The sequence below is a fragment of the Homo sapiens genome, chromosome 4 (genome assembly GCF_000001405.40).
Source record: "Homo sapiens chromosome 4, GRCh38.p14 Primary Assembly".
NCBI lineage: Eukaryota > Metazoa > Chordata > Mammalia > Primates > Hominidae > Homo > Homo sapiens.
The window spans coordinates 101,286,109-101,308,565 of record NC_000004.12 but is presented as its reverse complement, the minus strand read 5'-3'; the positions used below and the strand labels follow the sequence as shown (position 1 = coordinate 101,308,565).

General features: G+C 36.2%; 1 protein-coding gene across 3 annotated transcripts in view, besides 1 other annotated feature; it reads left to right on the top strand.

The window, feature by feature from the left end:
• Window positions 1–22,457, top strand: part of PPP3CA (protein phosphatase 3 catalytic subunit alpha) — a 324,109-nt gene that overhangs the window by 38,961 nt on the left and 262,691 nt on the right. The window lies entirely within an intron of this gene.
• Window positions 3,220–3,803: an enhancer, noted in NCBI's record as "OCT4-NANOG hESC enhancer chr4:102225920-102226503 (GRCh37/hg19 assembly coordinates)". NCBI's record gives its function as "activates a minimal SCP1, AML or CMV promoter by ChIP-STARR-seq in naive H9 embryonic stem cells {active_cell/tissue: H9 hESC(naive)}" and the evidence as "EXISTENCE:reporter gene assay evidence [ECO:0000049][PMID:30033119]".

Genomic DNA, 22,457 nt, shown 5'->3' with positions numbered 1-22,457 from the left:
GCTGAAGCTGCAAGATCACTTGAGCCCAGGAGTTGGAGGCTGCAGAGAGCTATGATCATGCCACTGCACTGTAGCCTGGGTGACAGAGACCTTGTCTGTGAAAAAAAAATCTGAAATATTACATGTAAGGGGATTTTGTGAACATTCTATATGCTAGGTATTGTGATAAAACTGTAACCAAGTATATTGTATATAGTATGGAATGATAGTAATACCAATATCTTTCATAGAGAAGTTTCTCCTTTCCAGTTTTAAAATTTAGGATTACTTTGGGTCAGGTCTATTCATCTTTGAAGAAAATAATTTTTTAAAATTCCATTGTATAACATGAAGATTTTTGTATGTGAAAAATACATTAAAATCTTGATAAATAAGTTTTAATTTTACATTTCAGGCCAGACATTTGTTGTATGAATCTATGAGAGCACATACAGGATTCCTTGTCATATGTGGACATGAGTCATTATAAAGTGTACTGTTAAATTGTTTGGAGGCACACCCAATAGATGAAAAGGCTAAAAAATGTAATATGTAATTATGAAATTCTCCCTTGACTGCTTAGTAACCATTATGCTTTCTTTATCACTAATTATTTCGGGTAACAGATTCAATAGGTTTACAATAAGGATTCAAATCGTGAAGTGGAAGATTGTGTCTTTTACTGAAACCTAACTTAACATGGAATTGGAGTATAAATAGAATTTTTATAAAAGAGAAGTTTGTCCTTAAAAAAGCAGTGTATACTTCAGTATAACCTCCTTGGTTACTTTGGTTTGTGTTAAAGCATTCAGTATGGTATTCGCGCTGGAGGAAGGCTTCACATACTAGGCACCAAGTGTTCCAAGTGTTGGCCACAAGTACATCTGGTAGATTTAGAAACATCCAAGAAAATTTCCACCAAAAACTGTTTTATACTTGACCATGTTTTAGTGTTTTTAACACTGGACTTATGACCAGTTGTAACTACATTTTATAGTAAGAATGGCAACCATTTGTTACATAATCAAGATAAGTAATTTGTTAAGCAAAAACTTTTTTAGGGAGTTACCTTCTTTATCTGTATATATTAGAGTTTGACTAATGAAGATTTATTTTCAGCTGATAAGGTCAGCCAACTATGGTGACGTATCTGATTTGCTAGGTTTTTGCTCTGCCAAACCACCTTCTCAGAATTGTTTCGAAGGTAAAAGCTCCCAAATACTTGACATATGGCAGCTATTCTCATTTCAACACATTCTGTGTTTCAGTTCCTGCAGACCAGGAAAACTTAATCTGTAATCACAAGTGGAGCTAGGGCAAACATATCTTACCCTCAGACATTCAGGTTTTCCACGTAAGGTAGGGTCATTTGTATAAATACACTGTACCAACAGAATCTGTTTTTTTTTTTTTTTTTTGGTTCAAAGTGAAATTAGTGCAGTGATTAATCCCATTTTAGAGTCTTTGTTCAGCATGATTGAAGTTTAATGTTTTTGCTAGGAAAAATTACTTGGTGTTTTGATAGAGCTGTAACACCTACAATACCACCAGTAGCATTGGTTCTTGAGAGGAGACATAGCATGCATTCCCTCAGATATAATCCTTCAATAAATACTACTGAAGCAGCTCTCTACCAGGAAGGAAAACAGCACTCATCCTCATCCTCCCGTGGACTCACTGTTTTTGTCTTGCCTATTCTGTGCTGTAATTCTCACATCTTAACTAAAGGAGCTACCACAACTAAACAAACAGACAAAAAAAAATCAGAGTATACCTTCACAAAATAAGCAGTCTATATGAAATAAGGGAGTTGCATTTGGTTTTTTTGTCAGTAAGTCTGTAATGCTCGATATATCAACTTTCAGAATTACAGTAAGTCAGAGCAAAGAGAATGAAATCTGTAGCTCAGCTTGTTTATTTTTTTGGTTTGCTTCTGCTGAATTTTGTTTCCCCCAAGTCAGAATACGAGTCTTTTTGTGTTCTCTCTCTTCTCTTATTCTTCCGAGAAGTGAAGGTGGTGGGTGTACAGCCCATATTTGTTTACTTTTTCTGTAGCTCATATATCTATTATTACTGGTGGTTTCTTAGTGGAAATTTTTCTTTCACTCTCACTTTGGCTTTACCTCCAAGTGCTTTCTTCTCTTGGCTGCAATTGAGCACTATAATTTGTGGCTTTCCGGAGGGGGAGCCTTGGTGGTCAGGTGGAGGAGGCAGGCCACATTCCAAAAGTGGAGTGGTAGGTGTTCCAGACAGAGTGCTGATTCAAGAGTGAGTAGGGGTGTAGGGTGAAAGTTGGCTACTAATTCAAGCCTCACCTGAGGCAGTGTTGCTCAAACAGAAAAGTGCCCTCTCTAATTAGCTGCCCCCATATGCGCTTAGATTAATGACAGCCAACTAACTTAGAAACCCCTTCCAGAGTAAGCTAGCCAAACAATAGATGTTCCATGGACATGACAAAGAGCTAATTTTCTTGTGCTAAGGAATTTTTAGCTCTTGTATTTGTGGTGGACTGCCTCATCACCTAATGAAGGTGAAGTACATTCTCCATTTTAGGAGGCAGAGTTAAAACATTTTCCTCCTGTGGATGTCTGATTAGAAAAAAAAAAAATCTCCTACTTCACTGTACCTTTCCAGCAAGTCTTATCCTCTCAAAGCACTGTGTAAAGCTTTGAAATTAACTGGTTCAGTGAGTAGATTATATTTTGGTACTTTCCTATTTGTCCTTAAAAACATTTTCTGACTGTTGGATGTAAAAGAAGATATTAATGAAAGGTTGAAACTTCATTATCATTGATTCTTTTTAAACACCCCCCTCCATAACCTGCTGTTTTCTGCATTTGAAATAGGAAGATTGTGACAAATGATTTCATTCTGAAATTGCTGTTGAATAGAAAGTTTTGATATTATAACTCTCATTCAATTCAAAGGATATAGATTTCATTTACCTTTATATAAAAAATGGTGATAGTCATTTTTCCTCCATATTTGTACTCTGAAAGAAATATATTCTAGGCTTTCTCATCAGTTAGCCTGGCCTTAAATGAAATCATGGAAACAAATAATTCACATCTTAAGTATTTTTTCAGTTTTCTAGAAAACTTTATGATTAAAAGTTGCTAAGTTCATTTCACATTTTTCCCAAGGTGTGAAATACAATTCTGTAAAGACATTTCCATAAACAATAATTTATGGGGTCACACTGTGTGGTACTTTCAAAGTTATGTGGAAAGTGTTTCTTTTGATCTCCTCTGAAACATGTGACTGAAAGAATAATACCTTTTGTGGTCTCAAATATTTCAGTTTTCAGTCGTGAACTTTAAAATTCACATGAGCAAAAAGAAACACCGCCTGAAAACCAGGCAGTTTTTCTTCCCTAGATGCCCAGAAACATTTTGAGCCATTCCAAACCACTGGGATCATTTGCTCTGATTTCAGATAAGCAGAATAAAATAAACAAACTCTTGCCCATGTGGGAAGTGGTTCTGCTGTCTCTTGTTCTAACCCTGCAAAGCCTGAATGTCTCCCCAGCATCTTTGAATGGGTCTCATTGTTTATTTATTGTGCTTTTCACAAGTGCTTGTAACTGTACCCTTGTTTTACTAATAGCTTTCTTCTAAAGTGGGTTGACATTTCAGTTAATTTTCAGTGTCCTCAATGTTTTTCCTTAAATTGGGCCAGACTGACTGGCCTGTTTAGTTAGTCTCGTATAGATTGTAGCACATAAAAATAAGGAACATTTATTAGATATTTTTGAATTTGTTTTCTTCTTTAAGAAATGTCAGGTCAAGAGAAATTTTTCTTTCACATTCTTCAATTATTTGTGTTGATAAATAATTGAATAGAAGTTTTAAACCTGTGACTATCCTAGAAGTTTTAAGTTTTTACATTAAAACCTATTAGATATGTAAATGTATACATTTTTATTCATTTTTGAATGTAATTCTGTTTAAAATCTTAACATGACGAAATTTAGGAAATTGTTCGAAGTCTTGTCTAGATGAGCAATTTTGAACACTTTACATAACATTCAGATTTTTATTGCATTTATTTTAAAAACATACATAAAACCTTTTTCATCTGTAGAAATAAACTAGAAATGAAACTACAGGGAATATTGTCCTTGTACCAGGAAGTAAAATCTACCAACTGTAGGTCTCTATTGGCACGGAAATGGGCATCATTAGGCAAAACCCAGAAACAGGTTCCAGTACATAGTGAACCTTACTGAAATGAAGAAATGACATTTCCATTAAATAGGAAAAGCATGGATTATTCAGTAAATATTATGGCGTGGCTCTCACCAAAGATAGTACTATAAGGAAATTCCAAGTATAGTAATAGCACAAATAGAATCAAAAAACAATTTAAATAAAAAGTATTAGGAAAAAACATAAGAGACTATTACTGAAATATCCTGATGAAAGAGGTCTTTGTACACATGTTAAGAAACTTTGATTGATAATGCATAATAACAGATTTGGTTGCATAAGTAAAACATTCTCATTTATAAAAGACACCATAAACAAAGGCAAAATACTAGCAGAAAATATTTGCAACAAATATGGTGAAAAGAAGGTTAACTAATATGTACAGGGCGTCAGCACATTAATGGAACAAAAAACAGTTTTGAAAGGACATGAACATCAGACAAATTGCAAGTTTGACCAGTGAAGATATAGAAATATGTTCAACATTATGAGTGGTCATGATAATACAAACAAAAACAGTAAGATGTCATTTTTATCCCATCAAATTGGTGCACTTAAGAGGACTTCCAATTGCCAGTGCTTCTAAGAATATCAGATAGTTGACATTTTTATGTACTCACGATAACAAGGTGAATGAAAAATGTACTTTTTGTCTCAGTGATCCTATCCCACTTCTGGGAATCCATCCTATAGAGAATACCAATACATAGAGTACGAGAATGTCTATTGTTAACAACCTGTACATTGTGAATATAAGTTAATTGTTAAAGATGTATTTTTATTTGTTAAAAATATCAGTGAAACATTTTTGGATTACATATGGTACATTCAAACTATGGGATGTCATGCAGCTATATTAAAATAATTGGATCACCGTACACTTGGGAAAATGTACATGATATTTTTGAAGTGAGCAAAGAAAGTTGTAGATATGTAGGTACATATAAATATATGGTCATGTATTTCATATAATTTTGCTGAAAAAAATACAAAAATGCATATGTTTGTATATTTTTGTGTACTTGTAGAAAAAATAAGGATATTTCCCTAGGGTGAGCTAGTGTATCTTGCTGGAGAGGTGGATGTGAAATGAATATGAATATTACATTTGTCATTTTAAAAGTATCAGTAGAATTTTACATATAAATTTTGGCCATTTTACTTTAGGGAAACATGCTATTTTGAAATGAGTCAGAATTACACATTTTTTGAACAATGTATTACTGAACCTAGAGGTAAATATACAGAATTACAGAATCTGTCCTTGTATTTCCCTCGCATTTTGACGTAGTCACAGTGGAGATTGAATCTCTTTTTGATGATGAAAAATTTGTCTAGAGTTTTTTAAGGGAGGTATGAATTTTGAAGTAGAATATAGCTTTGAATGATACTCAAAACTAAATTTAATGGCCATTCCCAATTTTTAAGCAAGACATACATTCAACCTTAAAGTTTTCAACTTGATTCCTGTGCTTTGTTAATAACTCTGCCTTAGAGTAATTAGGGAGTCTGAATTGCATTTACTCTTAAAAGGCAGAGGTTGGAGCCAGAAACTTCTGTCTTGTCATGTTGTATTCTGTCTGGCTGACATGGGGCCAAATCACTCTTGTGGTTCTGGGACTCAGTTTCTCCCTTTCTCAATTGGAATGATAATATTGAAAATTAACTGGTTTTTTAGATTAGTTTGAGTTCTGCATAAAAATGTGCTGTAGTCCCAGCTACTAGGGAGGCTAAGGCAGGAGAATCGCTTGAACCAGGAGGCGGAGGTTGCGGTAAGCTGAGATTGCGCCTTTGCACTCCAGCCTGGGCAACAAGAGTGAAATTCCATCTCAAAAAAACAGAAAAGTGCCGTAATGGCAGCCTTAGAGATGTCATGTCATGTTCTGTTAATTGTCTTATTATTGAATGCTATAACAAACTTGTTACAGATTAACAGTCATCACTCTGTAATAGTGTGCTAACTTAGAAAAGTTTATCCTTGCTTTTTGAATTATAAGATTCTTGTAATAATATATCATCGCAGTTTGGTCTTTTCATAATGTTAAATCCAGAAGGAACCTTGAAGATGAGGATGCATCAGCATTTTAAAGATGTTCAAACTGAGGTGAATTACTTGTCCCTGGTTACACAGCTGGCTAATGAGGGAGCTGATGCTTGATGCTTCATTTGAGCAACATTCTGGGGAGTATTTCTGGCATAAAACCAATTTACAAATGAGATTACTCTAAATCTAGTGCTCTATCTACAGCATTTATACATTTTGTTTTTCATTATTATCAAATGGAATAAATATTTAAAAGTATACATAATCTCTATCAGTAAAACTAGTATCTAAAAAAGTATACCCTTTAGAAGCTGTGTAGCTTTGCATTCATTTTTAATTTTTTTCTTCGAAACAAATTTCTTTAGGATATTCTATAAACTACATTAAATGGGTCAATTTTTGCAGAAAGCAAATATAAATAATATTTACTTATTTGCATATTTTATTTTAATTAGATCATTATCTAGTAATTTCCTTTAACTGTGATTTTTAAAATTATATATATATATATATAAAATATGGTGCTATATAATACTGCTTTAAAAGCTGGACGCGGTGGTTCACACCTGTAATCCCAGCACTTTGGGAGGCTGAGGCGGGTGGATCACGAGGTCAGGAGCTAAGACCAGCCTGGCCAACATGGTGAAACCCCGTCTCTACTGAAAATACAAAAATTAACCAGGTGTGGTGGCAAGTGCCTGTAAATCCTAGCTACTCGGTAGGCTGAGGCAGGAGAATGTCTTGAACCTGGGAGGCAGAGGTTGAGGTGAGCTGAGATTGTGTCACTGCACTTCAGCCTGGGTGACAGAGCAAGATTCTGTCTCCAAAAAAAAAAAAAATTACATATATATTATATATAAATATAATATATATAATATATAAATTTAATATATAATTAATATATATTATATATAAATTTAATATACATAATGGTTGTTAACATTACTTGTGTCAAGGATTATCAATTGAATTGGGTGATTCATAACACAGATTTCATTGGAAATGTTTGAGTAGGGAGGGCCTAATATTTAGCAGGTAGTATCATGTTATTTGACATTAAATCAATTGAATTTTGTAGTTTCAGTAAACACAATGTGAATGTTGGACATTTGAAGATATGAATGCTAGTTTGTATGTCAGTGTCTGTGTATATGTATTTATATAAATGAGTCATTTTATATACAAATATATGCATTTATGTAAATTTGTAAATGTAAGTATAAACATGTTTACTGTCTTGGTGTTTGAGATGATTCCATTTGTGGTGAATGATGGTGACTTCTGTTTTAAGGATGTTTGGAATGATTTAAAGTAAAATCCTGTTCCTAAATCTAAAGATTGTGATAATTTTAGATGAATACTTTTCCCTTTTCATTATTATTTTTTGGTGTCTACCAGAATATTTATACATAGTGATAGAAACAGTGATTTTTTTTGTATGGAGAGAACTCAGAATTATTCAGAGATATTATTATTTTGAGGGAGGCAGATATACAGTACAATCCAGAATGACATTTAGGACTACTATATGAAATATTACGTGGCAGAGTCTCGTTCTGTCACCCAGGCTGGAGTGTAGTGGTGCGATCTTGGCTCAGTGCAACCTCTGCCTCCCGGCAGAGCGATTCTTGTGCCCCAGCTTCTCGAGCAGCTGAAACTGCAGGCGTGTGTCACCATGCCTAGCTATTTTTTTCTATTTTTTAGTAGAGAGAGGGTTTCACCGTGTTGGCCAGGTTGGTCTTGAACTCCTGGCATCAAGTGATCCACCTGCCTCGGCCTCCCAAAGTGCTGGGATTACAGGCATGAACCACCACACCTGGCTGGCAAAAAGGGATTTTAAAATTAATTTAAAACATTAAAACAAAAATGGTTTTATCACTATGGTAATATTAATGGTGTTGCACCGGTAGGTTGCTCACGGTTTATGTTTTTGATGTGATATTTGTCCTTTATGTGTTAGGAATACCCAAGCCAAGATGTGTGACTGCCAATTTTTGATCCTAATAGCTTTTCTGACTAAACCTGTTTTATAGCTACTATGATCAACATCTTCTGGATACCAAGTGTTTATATGGGTAGCTTGACTTGAGAGATTGAAATGTTTAATGAGTGGACATTAACCTTACTAATTTGTATCTGTTAAGTGAAGCTAATTTGTAGCTTATTTGTCTGATTTGTGGTATGACCCTATTTGTGGTCTGACCCAAATTATTTGTCTCTCTGAAATAGCAGTGTGTTAGTCTGTTATCTGCTTATTTACTTCCTCCACCCCGCCTTCTTAGTAGACTATGTTTCTGGGAAGCAGAGGCTATTATATTGTTTTAATTTTAAAAGATTTTTATGCTTTTAAGAGATTATTATCTTGATCACCTTTGCAAATTCAGTGCCAAGCATGAAGCTGGGTACACATTCAAAAAAAGTGTGTTCAAAGAATGCCTTTTAAAGTAGCTGTAAGACTATGTGGCATGCTGGTCCTTGATGATATAGGGCAGACAGTGTAAACATGGCCTTACCTCCTAATGCTTATGACCTGATGAAAATAAGTTAGACATTTTATAATGGAAATTATAAATTTATTTACTCATATTCATTTCCTGAGGCTCTGTACATATTTGGTACAATGGGGGTATTTAAAAAGACAAGTGTCTGTCCTTTAGCATTCCAAAGAGTTAGAGGACAAAACTGTAAAATTCTGGTATGTAATATTTATTTCTTATAAATAAATACATATATACACATAGCAGTCATGTGCTGCATAACGATGATTCAGTTAGTGACAGACCCCATATAGGACAGGGTCCCATATGATTATAATGGAGTATATTTGAGCCAGGCATGATGGCTCATTCCTATAATCCCAGTTACTTGGCAGGCAGAGGTGGGAGGATTGTTCAAGACCAGCCTGGGCAACATTGTGAGACCCTGTCTCTAAACAAAAAAAAAACCCAAAAAACAAACAAAAAAACCTTCTGTCATTGTCCAGCTTCTAAGTCTTCAGTGTTTTTTCACTGATCTCAGAACAAGGACTGCAGGACTAATGGGGTCCTCAAGCCTTGCATCTGTAGCCTGGAACACTCTAATGGGCTGTATGTAGTGGCTTATGCCTGTAATTCCAGGACTTTGGGAGGCTGAGACGGGAGGATCACTTGAGGCCAGGAGTTCAAGACCAGCCTGGGCAACATAGCAAGACCCCTTCTGTACCAAAAAAAAAAAAAAAAAAAAAAAAAACGATATATGGCACTTGATATTGACATTGCAGATCAATTAAGAGAAATTATTGATATTCAGCAGTGGTGCTGAATATCATAGTTTTCTATGGGGAAATAATATATACATATATACCATCTAGGTTTGTGCAAGTACACTCTAATGTTCGCACAATGACAAAATTGCCCAATTATACATTTCTCAGAGCATATCCCCATCATAAAGCAATGCATGAGTGTATACACACACACACACACACACACACACACACACACACACACACACAGTAGACCCTTGAACAATTTGGGGACTTGGGGCACTGACCCCTCATGTAGTCGAAAATTCATGCATAAGTTTTAACTCCCCCCAGACTTAACTACTAATAGCCTACTGTTGGCTGGAAGCCTGATGGATAACATAAAGTTAATTAACATATACTGTGTATGTTATATGTATTATATATACCATATTCTTACAGTAAAGTAAGCCATAGAAAAGAAAATGTTACGAAGAAAATCATTAAGGAAGAGAAAATTACTATGCATTAAGTGGAAGTGGACCATCATAATCATCCTTGTTGCCTTTACATTGAGTAGGCTGAGGAGGAAGAGGAGAGATTCGTCTTGCTGTCTCAAGGGTGGCAGAGAAGGAGTAGGTAGAGGAGGTGGCAGGGGAGGCATGCATACTCTGTATAACTTAATGAAAAAAATTCATGTATAAGTGGACTTGGGAAGTTCAAACTTACGTTGTTAAAGGGTCAACTGTAATATATATATATATATATATATCTCCCTGCTTGGTATAGGTATTGTTAGTTAGGTGTCTTTACATCAAGATTTCTTTGTCTTAGACCAATTTAAAAGGAAATATGAGGCTTTGGGGTCCTGAATGACATTGGGCTACATCTTAGGGACTCTTGAGTCTATCTGAGGGTACATCTTTCTGTAATGCTGGCATAAGGAGCTATGAGACCCATTAGCTTATTCTGACCCTAGGATATATATAGGAGAAATACTACAGTCCTAGGTCTTTGGAACTGAGAGGAATCTCTGGAGTCACTTATTGGAATTGCCTATTCCCACTGAGAAAGCCGCGTGAGAATTTTCCAGGGGACACAAATATGAGGAGTCAGTTTAAGATCTGATTCCCTGATTCCTGGTCCTATTTCTTTGCATCAATAATGTGCCCTCACTCCTGATACAGTGGAGAGCAAAGTAAAAACAGCTAAACTATTCAAAAGAAACAATAAGAAAACATTATAAGGCATGAAAACCCAATCAAACAGTTGTATTTCAACATGAGAGAAACAGTTTGCAGCAGATTTTCAGTTTAAATACATGTTTAATTTCATGTTTAAATGCAAGCCAAATCTCAGATTTAGGACAGGGGATCTTCATTATCCAGATGAATATTCCTGCATAAGGAAGTAGGGAAAAAGGCCTGTAGAAACCTCTGTCATGGTAGGTTATATGCAGAATCCAATGCCAGCAGCTGGCTATATGTGTCTGGGCTGGCATGGTTGACTCTTTCCCAAGGATGGTCATCTAGTGGGTTCCTCTTCCTGACATCGCAGGTACAATTGGCCATGATGCCCTCTGCATGGTCAAACTATATGTTTCCTAAGAGACCTTGGGCCCACTTCTGTCACCTTACATGGATCTGTTAACATTACACTGGATAGGTTAAGCAATGACCTGTATTATGATAGCCAGTTCATGATGTCTATATAGTAATCTCTTAGGACATGGTAAATGATTATGATCATCATTAGTTTTGCCCCATGTGTCAGGTTCTTCATTTAAATTGGAAGCTTATTCTTATACTTACTACGTGCTAGGCACAGTGCGAAGAGAGATAATATTTATTTTCATCTGGAATTAATGTCATTCTAACTCCAAAAGAAATGACTAGAGAAGATTAGGGAAGCCCAGACAACTTGTCACGTAGCAGTCTCAATCAAAATTCATTAAAAAGAAAAGACGATTATAAATGAGGAAGAAAGCAATATATAAATATTTCCTGTTTTATCATTATGTATTATTTTATTTGCTACTGTCTCTGAACCATGGTATTTTGATAGGAGTTTTATAAGTTCCTAGAATGATATTGTACTCAATTGTGCATATATTAAAACTTTTTAAAAGAAACCTCTTGGTGTTTTAAATACATGTTATTTCAATGTATTGCTATTTAACTTCAGAGTATTTCTGCAGTGGTTTGATGGCAGATTGGTGTTATAGAAGGGGCCACTAAATAAGTTAGCAGTGTTTTACTGTGAGTCATTGACTAACTTCAGCTATAATCTTGAGTCTCCTAACTTTTAGATGTATGACTTTTTAGTTTATCAATTATAATCATGTATGCATAAATGTAAACTTTTGCACGTCTGTAATAAATGAACTTTTATTTTAAAAAATGGGAAACAGAAACAATCTAGTTGAAACCCTCAGGAAAGTAAGCCTGTGATAAAACCCTTAAATGACATAACATACTCACCAGAATTAATAGGAATAATAGGAACATATGGGATTCCACCTTTAAAAAGAGAATGGACATATTATAATTACTTATCTGATTATTTTTGAAAAGTTCAGCTTAAAGCAAAAAAGATGAACTGGTTTATCAAAATATGGAGTGTAGTAGAATAAAAGTAGTTCATCTTTATTTTTCTTTAGCTTTCTCATGCATCTGTTAAGGAGCAGTAAAATGAACAAAAGATACTGTGAGAAATCTGGACTGTGGTAGACTCTAGATGAATAATCTGAAAATTTTTCACATACAAAATACTTATATTTAGTTTTAAAAACAAACATAATAGCCTCTGAGAAATGGTTAACTTTCTATGTTCCACTGTGAATTACATACCAATAGAAATTTAAAATGCTTTAAAATTTGCTGTAATTTAAATCTATTGAATTTTATTTGGGAAAATTACCCCCTTTTATAAGGTTGGTAATTCTTAACAAGGTTAGGAAATTCCTTTTGTGCTACCATTTAGGAACATGTTTAAAATGCATATATATAATTCTAAGGTTAAACAGTCAATGTGACTCTCTTCTTGACACATTTTGCTTGAAAGACCTGTAATATTCCTTCAGAAACAACAACAACAACTCCAGCTTATTTTCAAATCTGTTACAAAAGAAAGCACAGAAGGAAACATTCTTGAGGTCTTACAGTTCCAAAGAAGTTTATCTAAAGTTCATAACTTGTTGGGTCTGATCCATTGGAATAAAATATCTCACTCTCTAGTGTTAAACTTGCAGAATGAGTGATTTTCTTTTTAAACTTTTTACACTTTCCTCTGGGATTCCAAACCTGTTCTGAAGAGAAATCATAGGAGGGAATGGAAACATCTTTAACTCATGACAGTAGGTAATGCCTATATGGCAAAAAGTTATTTGTAAGTTTGCTAATCATCTGGTTAAATTTATTAGTGTTGACAGCTAAAAGCTGTAATTTAAATCCCAAAGAGAAAAGTTTGAAGCAAAGTAATAATACCAAAGAATTGCCAAGTCCCCATTTTGTTTCATTCTGTCTAGACATGGTCTTAAATCATGGAGTCTACAGTAAGATTTTGAATGACAGTGTCCAGTTTTCCAAAAAGAAGGTTAAGAAAATGTTATTTGGAATTTCTTCATAGTCTTAGAACATGCGTGTACTAATTTTGGAGGTTTTTCCACCTGTGTAAGCTTTATGTACAAAATAGAAAATAGATGACCGTTTTGATAAAACTCATTTGCCTGACTATTCATAAAGGTGTTGAAGCCACTAAAATATGAGTGAATATACTTTCTTTTTTTTTTTTTTTTTTTTTTTTGAGACGGAGTCTCGCTCTGTCACCCAGGCCGGACTGCGGACTGCAGTGGCGCAATCTCGGCTCACTGCAAGCTCCGCTTCCCGGGTTCACGCCATTCTCCTGCCTCAGCCTCCCGAGTAGCTGGGACTACAGGCGCCCGCCACCGCGCCCGGCTAATTTTTTGTATTTTTAGTAGAGACGGGGTTTCACCTTGTTAGCCAGGATGGTCTCGATCTCCTGACCTCATGATCCACCCGCCTCGGCCTCCCAAAGTGCTGGGATTACAGGCGTGAGCCACCGCGCCCGGCCCGAGTGAATATACTTTCACACCAAGTATACCAGTAGCCCTTTTTCTTAAGTAATTGCCTATTGATCCCATAGCTTTACCTTGTGTATAAACATTAATGGACATTTTGTATTTTGGGACCCATGACTATTTAAATTATTTTAATTTTTTTTTTTTAGTGGTTTCTGGTGCAGGAAGCGGGTGGGTTTCGCAATGTCTGTAGTTATTTTTCATCGCTACAACTAGCAAGAGAGTGCTGGTATCTAGTGAGTAAAAGCCAGAGATGCTGCCAAACATCCTACAATGCATAGAACTCCCCCCACAACACAGAATTATCAAGCCCAAAGTGTAAATAATGCTGAGGTTGAAACCCTGCCCCAGATGGAAGGAACCTTATTTTTCTCCTCTTTGCCATATATAATGTATTTTTTATGATTAAAATTCATAAAGCATACTCTTAGAATATACTAATATTAGAGACAAATATAGGCCTTAATATAAATGATTAAATTAGGTACATGTAAGGCATGAAATTATAGCATCTACTTGATATGTGGTTATAAAATTATAATACTGAAATACCCCAAGGCAAACAAATAAATAGAGATTTGGTAAAACTTAATGTGTGTCATAGAGTTACATATTGCTGGACTGGAAGGAGCCTAATTTGATGGTTCCTAATTGGGTTGATGTGTTGATGAGCATCAGTGCTTCAGAATTATTTGATGAGATACCTAGTTCAAAGATGAATGCTTGGAGTCCCACGTTAGTACTGGATTATGAAGGCACAAGGTCCAAGAAGTACTTTTTATAAGCTCACTCATTTTCTGTAACTGCAAATATAAGTGATTCTTATTATATAAGTGATTCTTATGACCTCAGCCACCATCTCCATTCCACTTCTTCTGAGATTTACTGTTCTATCTGTATTACATGAAGGCTTGATGATGTTGACATTCCTCAGTTACTATTGTTAGTGAACTAAAAAAGCGGATCATTGTTTCTTCCTTATTGCTTTGTTAAGATTGCCTTTTAAATGTGAAAATATTGGTTTTCCTATCTCGGTACATTCATTCTCCTTACATAATGCCTCCTGGCTGTCTTCTGCCAGGCCCGTTCCTAGTGTCTGATGATACGGATATTGTCTCTGCCCTCATGGAGCAAAAGAGAGATAGAGAAAAAAAATAAGCAAACAATAAAGCAAAGCTGTAGGAGTCTTAAAAAATGGAGCAGAACATTCAGCTACAAGTGGCCTAGCAATCACATGGTTCAGCTGAGACCTAAGGAGTTGAAGTGACTTGCCCAAGTTCACCTAATTACATGGCTGTGGTGGAGGTGAAGGGAGGGCGTGGGCCTCTGGATGTCTCTTCTCTCATTCCACACTAGAAGACATGCAGGTGGGGAACAGGAGCATCTTCTACATGTGGAAAAATGTGAGGGACTGGCCCATGTGTGTTATAGGACAAGTTGATACCACCGTCAAGCCTAGTGGAGGTAAGGGAAGTTGTGGGCCATTCCAAAGACATGTGTTCACTCCACCCTTCACACTCTTATTGGAATAGGTAAACATCAAAGAGAAAGTGACCAATATTTCTTCCTTTCTTACAAGGACACAGCCATGGCTGGGCTGGTTGGTATTCCTTTAAAGTCTGAAGAATCAAGAGTTCCTGAGCGTGTCTTATTCCCTGTCCTGGCCACTAGGCAGTCAGTGGCTGCCCAAATTGTGTTATGGAAAAGTGAAGCATGGGAAGACAGAAAAGGGGGGATAATATTATTACCTGTGATTGAGCAAGCAGGTAAAGGAGGAGAAAACGAAGGGTAGGAGGATTCAAATGGGGAAAAGGGCATGTTTTCCATGCTGCTTTCCCTTTCCTGCTGTGAACTTCAGAATGCACTTGCCCATTGACCACATTGTGAGTGTGGGTTATGATTCTAGGCCAGCTTCCCAGACCTTACTTCACCAGTCATGCATTCTCTGACCGTAACACTAAGAGTACAATGGTACCAAAATTTTAATGTAACATTTTGAAATAGTAGGTGAGATTTGGATAGGATGGTTAGCAAGTTGGTTTATCAAACTTAGCCTGTAAATGACCACACAGGTTTGGAAATAGAAAATAATTTACATTATGTGATATAGTACATAAGATTGTCATGTGGAAAAACAATACAAACTAGATTGAATATTCACCATATGAGAAAAACACTTTCTTCCCTTTTGAATCACATTAGCTTTTAAGAATCTTCAAAACTTTTCAGGAACATGCTATATCCACCCAACCCCTTGTTTTTTGGTTAATTGTTGTTTGCCCTATCCTAAGGACCAAAAGCTATACTTACTTCCATTTAGTTTGTCAGTCTTTTAAATTTATTTTTCTAAATTGAGAAGAGCCTGATTAAGGAGTTCTGTGGCAATAGAAAATCTCTCTTCAATTCATTGCCAAAGCATAGAGGCTTCTGTATATAGTATTTAAAAGTAGAGCTCTAAAGTAATTATTTCCTTGGATCCTAAGAGGACTCGTGTTAGTGAAAGCAAAGTGGGACTTATTTCGACCCACAAAGAAGAGCTGATTTAGAGGCCATGTGGTGATGCCATGGGAGAGGCGCATGTACTGCTGGTTTAGGACGAGCTCTTCTGATAAGCTCTCAGCTGTTACAACAGATAAGAGAAAATTGATAGTTTCAGAAAGCAATGAAAGTCAACTAGGACTACAGATAAACAGCATCTATGATTCTTTTCAAATGTTTGAGTACAAAACACCCATATTTTAATTTAATAAACAATTACTGGAGACTTACTATGTATAATATGCTAGAAATGTTAGAAGCTCTAAAAGAATGATAGGACAGAGTTCTGCCCTTAAAGACTTTAGAACTTTTTAGGGAAGAGTCAGGTCCCACTATAGGGGCCGTGTGTGTGTGTGTGTGTGTGTGTGTGTGTGTGTGTGTGTGTGTGTGTGTTCATGGGCTCAGTGCAGCCTCGAACTCCCCGGGCTCAGGTGATCCTCCCACTTCAGTCTCTCGAATAGCTGAGACTACAGGAGTACACCACCATGCCTGGTTAATTTTTTATTTTTGTAAAGATAGGGTTTCGTCACATTGCCCAGGCTAGTCTCAAACCCGTGGGCTCAAGGGATCTGCCCACCTCGGCCTCCTAAAGTGTTAGGATTACAGGTGTGAGCCACTGTGACTGGCCCATGTGTGTTATAGGACAAGTTGATACCACTGTCAAGCCTAGTGGAGGTAAGGGAAGTTGTGGGCCATTCCAAAGACATTTGTTTACTCCACCATTCACACACTCATTGTCTCCTGCATATCACTCTGTCCAAGTAATCAGCCTGTGTTTGCTATTACAGATATTCATTCAAGTATTTTCCTTCCTTTTTGAAATGTCCTGGAGAACAAGGATGTTGCGTTATTAATCTTATTCTCAGTGTTTGTCAGTGTCTGCTAAACATTTGTTAGAGTTAATGATTGAGTGAATAATGCAGGGATTAATTCGTGAATGCTTTGTGAAAGCAATGGAGATATGGATGTGGACTGGTAGAGTGGAGGACCTTCCTCTAATTGAGGCTTGGAGTGGAGGGCAGAGGAAGTACTCCAGAGCTGGAACAAGGACATAGTGATGAGCATACCATGTGTTGGGAAGGCAATCCTCAGATTACATAATAAATTAGAATGCATGCCAATACAGACTCCTTAGGTTGCAAGTCATAGGAAACCTAGCTCAGAGTGGATTAAACAACATCACACAGCAACTCTTGACTTTTTTCAAATGAAGAATTGGCCCCAAAGATTACTCCTATTAGTGAAAGCAAAGCAGGAAATTATTTTGACCCACATAGAAGAACTAATTTAGTTGATTTAGAGGTTCTAATTACGCTAAGTAACTGAATAACTGAATAGCCTAGTTAAGGGGCAAAACATCAGGTACAGTTTGCAGCAGACAATCAAATAATGTAAACAATCCTGGTTATTTTGCTCTCTTAGGTTCTGCTTTTCCTACATTGTGCTTTCCTACTTACGATGGCTTCGTTCTTATGGTAGCAAAATGGTTATAGTAGCTCCAAGCCTTGCCTGTTCACACCAAAATACAGTGGAGCTTGCTAGCTCCAATGTCTCTTGCGTCTGAATGACTCTGATTTTATTTGCATGCCTCAAAACCAATCACTGTATCCAGGGAGTTGGGTTATGTCAGTCTGGCCCCATGCCATGAGGTGGTATTCATTGATTGCCTCCAAGCCCTGTTGTTGGTGCTGGAGATGATGTTTAAGTTGCAACCACATACCTGTACCCTTATTCTGGCACTCCCTGTGTTCCTTCTTTGTTTTATTTTTCTCAATAGCATTAACTGCCTTCTAACATACTATTTGACTCTTGTACTGGGTTGTCTGTCTCTCCTTGTTGGAATGTAAGCTTCACGAGGGTGTATGCATTTTTGCCTGTTTTGATCGCTGCTCCATCCGCTGTCCAGCATATGTAGGGACTCTAAATATTTGTTTACATGAATGAAAAAGAAACAAGATTCTGACTTTCTTAGGCTTACATTCTCATGTATTTATATTATTTAAGCAAGGAAATATTTATATTAATTAAGCAAGAAAATACCAGTTACTGATAAGTGTTGTTAAAAATAAAACATGGTGATGGGAAAGCAAATGTGAAGGGTGGTTTAATGTGGATGGCAATTCCACCTCAGTTGTTGGGCCATTAACAGGAGCGGAATGGGTGACCAAAGGAAATTCCTGGGACTGCACCAGATAAAGTCAAACTGGAGATAGAGGTAACAGAAATGATCTTTCTTATAGAATGCATCTTATGACTTAATCAAACTAGAAACAGTTATATCCTTTAGAGAAATTACTATTTTCAAGATTTTTGCTAGCTGCTTCTTGGCAAGTTTTGTAAACTTTTGTTGACTTTTAACTTTATGTCACTCATCTCTTAAAACTGTAGATCACTTTTGTCTTGCTAGGTACAATGTTGGTGTCACACAGTCTTCATTACATGCATGTGGGTGGCACATTTCTGATGTCAGGCTAGCTTCCTTCCTAACACTTCCTTGCACCATTCTAGCAGCATGATCTTAGGGCATGTAAGCCCATTTTAATGTTAGTCTTAAACATCTGACACACACACACACACACACACACACACACACACACACACACATACACGGACATTTTGGGATTATAGTGATATTGTTAAATTGAATATATAACTGGAATCAAGTGACATTTGAATGAGACAGATTCACAGAAGTCATAGGCTCATATTTGAGGGTAGGGAGAAATTTAATGTAAAATGAAAGGTAAGTTTAAAAACAACCTCACATATATGCATATATTATGTATAAAAAAATCTATGAAAATGTATACACTAAATTATATATGTTTATACATAAGAGACTGGATTTACAATCTTTGACTCATTAACTCACCTGATAATTAATCATGAAATGATTAAATTCAGAAAGGGAGTTTTATTACATGAAGTTGCTCATTGCAGGTTTCACTGCAAAATGAGGAAGGCAACTGGAAACATCTGAAGTGTCCAAAAAGAGAATAGCGGAAATCATAATAGTCTACCTCAAATGAGGGTGATTGTATGCTAAGCCCATTCTATAAGAAGGCAGGTAGAAATAAATAAGCAAGTGGATAAATAGGTTACGCATTTGTGGAATATTATGGAATTCTTAATGATTTTACAAATATGTGGAGCATGTGGAAATGTTATGAGATGCCAAGTGAAAGTGCAGAATACAAAACTATAAGCAAACCATGATTACACCTATATGTATATATGTATTCTGATATACAGATATGAAGGAAATGTGCAAAATAAAATGCAAATTTTATCTGTAGAGTTATTTTTGTTGTAACTTTTCTTTTGAGTATATTTTAATGTAGATATACATAGTTTTAATGAAATTGGAATTACATTTATAATGGGTTTATAAAAGATAGCAGACCAGTGTCATTTTTCTTTTTTTTAAAATTGAAACCGGTAAGTAAGAGCTTGTTTTTTTCCTCCTACGCAGTTGGAGAGTGACAGATATTGCTGATGACCCTCACTTTCAGGATTTCTGTCTTGCAGCCAAGTTGGGAGGAAATGTTTCGAATCAAAAAGGGGAAGGATGAAGAGACTCAAGGCACTTCATTTTGTGTGTGCCTGTGTATATGTGTGTGTGTGTTTTCTAGGGGGTTAACACATTGCCCCAGCTTGGATTATTTCTATCCTCAGAACAGCATATAAACATTTTTTGGGGGGAAAAAGTTAAAATATTTACACAGCTGCTTCCTTTATTTTTTTTTAAATACACAGATAATATTTTTACTACCTCATGAACATCATCATGTCTTTGTAACTAGCATGCTAAACTTTATTTCTCCTTTTGGTAGCACTATTTTGTTATTAATCCCTTCTGCCCTTCCTCCTTCCCCTCCTTCCCGTTGTTCCCTCTTATCCCCTCCTCCGACCACTCCCCTCCCCCTCCCGCTCCCTTCTCCCTTCTCCTCCCCTCTCCTTTCCTTCTTTTAAAAATTATAATCTGTTAATTTGTTTGAACCTAGGGTGCCTGAAAATTCAGATAACTTGAGAGTAATTAATTAATTCCACATTAGTATTCCAATGCATTTGTAATGACAGCCTTGCAATTTTTGGGGGGTAGGTAACCATTAATTTTGCCTCAGTAAAATAAATGGCCTTTATGTATAAGCTAAGACTTGTACAAAAGTAGATTAATGTCCTTCACCTGTGACTCTACAACACCAATTCATTCACTTTGGTTTTTCAGCCAGACATCTGGCCATTTTAGTGATTTATTGACTTAACTGATTAATTTGGTAGGGGAGGTTAATACTATTGTGCCTTCAGATATAGCCTTAAGTTTCTGTCACCAAGAGGTGATGGCAATCTAACCTGTTGGCCTCAGGATGTGCTTTGCCTTCCCTGGATTCCTCAGACTCCTATTTTTATATCAGATTCTACTTTGGTTGCTGGCATGACTTTAAGCTGGCAGGGCAAAGGGCTTTCTTGAAGGTGACTGTCTCCTCAACCTGTCTGACTTAAACGGTTGGGTCAAGGAAGGAAAAAAATGGTATGATGCAGCAGGAATTGGGTTGTTGAAAACTGTATTTTATTTGCATTTCTTGAGTTTGCACAGAACTTAAGTTACCAGCCTTTGATTAGCAATATAAATTTAAAGTTTGTCTTGGGCAAACTTACTGAAAACTCCTTTAGGCACTTTCCTCACATCAATTAAAAAAAAAAAAAAGAGAGGTTAATAGAACACTAGCTACTATTTTGTTTCCTTTTTAATGCCACGTGATCTGTATACCTTGGAAGGCAGAAAAATAATTTTATACTTGTGTTAATTGAAATAGCGTCTTTCTTGTCCTGGCTGTAGAATGATGGTGGGTCCTTTAAGCAGAGGACTTTGTGCACTTGAATGGGAGCAGAAGACAGGCTGCTCAGGGTGTCTGAACTTCACACTCACATGCCTAGAGTTGGGCTGCATATCTAAGGAAATTAACATGTTGCCACTGTTTTGATCAGAGGCTTGTGTTTCTATGCTGAATATTTTCAAAACAAGAATGTTGTCAAGAAGTAAAGGTCAACATCAGTTCTCTCTAAAGGCTTTTAATTTCTATATCTTTTGGTGATGCACTCTAAATGTACACATTAAAAGTGTTATATAAAAATGAATGTGACTTTTTAAGTTGTGTTTCTAATGCTTAAGTATGTATAATTAAAGTAATCAAAAATGTAAGATGGTGGCTAATTCAAAAATTTTAAGCTTTGTTAAAACAAGGTAAATTAGCTAAGGTATTTCTGCTAGTAACTATTTTTTTTTGTCTGTCAGTTACTGGGTTTCAGAAATGAAATACAGATTTGAGAATGACCTTGTTATTTAATTTTTAAACATTAAAAGTTTAGTAAACATAGCCTCACATTACTATTTATTTTAAGAGAAAAGGTATATTAATATTACACACATACTTTTTTTTTTTTTCTGTTGTGCAATCCAAAACCTGCTGGAAAGAATATATATGCTTTTCATCAAAAAAAGTTAACAACTTTTAAAATCCTACAGGTTCAAGTCCCAGCTGTCGAAAACTGATCCTGGGCTGCTGCAGCTAATGTACTTTCTTGTGAGAGGCTGAACTCTGTCACAGGTGACAGCTGACCCACTTACTCAGACCTTGATAAAGGATCAGGCTTCTTTTATAGGCCTTCAGATTCTCCTGAGATGGTCTGTCATGTCCAGCTATGGATGCTGAAGCTGAATTTCTTATACTTAATTTTTTATAGCATTTGTGTAAACTACCAGTTTTGGAGGAATGGTTAAAATTCTGACACAGTGGCCTGTGAGAGTATTTTGAGTTCCATTTTGAAATTATGGCTAGCAGATGCTATGAGTTTGGTTATAGAGACCCTTAAAGTGTGTAAGACAGTTTTTGTTTTTTAATTAGTTGTTTGAATTTTATTAACGTAATTAACTTCATAACTTCCATTTGTGAGATTCCAGGATTTTTCTACCTTCTTGGTAACTTTTCAGTGAAGTAGATATTTCCAGGTGCAAAACTTTATGACCTAAATAATTTGTAATCATTTCCATAGTATATGCAAGTATTTTAAAGGAGTCGGGTGTCTCAACAAAAGCCACCTAAGATTGTGGTTGGCATTTGTGTTTATTTGCCTTAACATACATATTTATTTGCTTTAGCATATTTTCTCTAAAGCAGGGGTCCCCTGGGCCTCCGACCTGTAGCAGTCTGTGGCCTGTTAGGAACCTGGGCACACAGGAGGTTAGTGGCTGGCCAGCAAGCATTACTACCTGAGCTCCTCTGCCTTCTGTCAGATCAGCAGTGGCATTTGATTCTCCTTGGAGAACAAACCCTATTGTGAACTGTACATATGAGGATCTAAGTT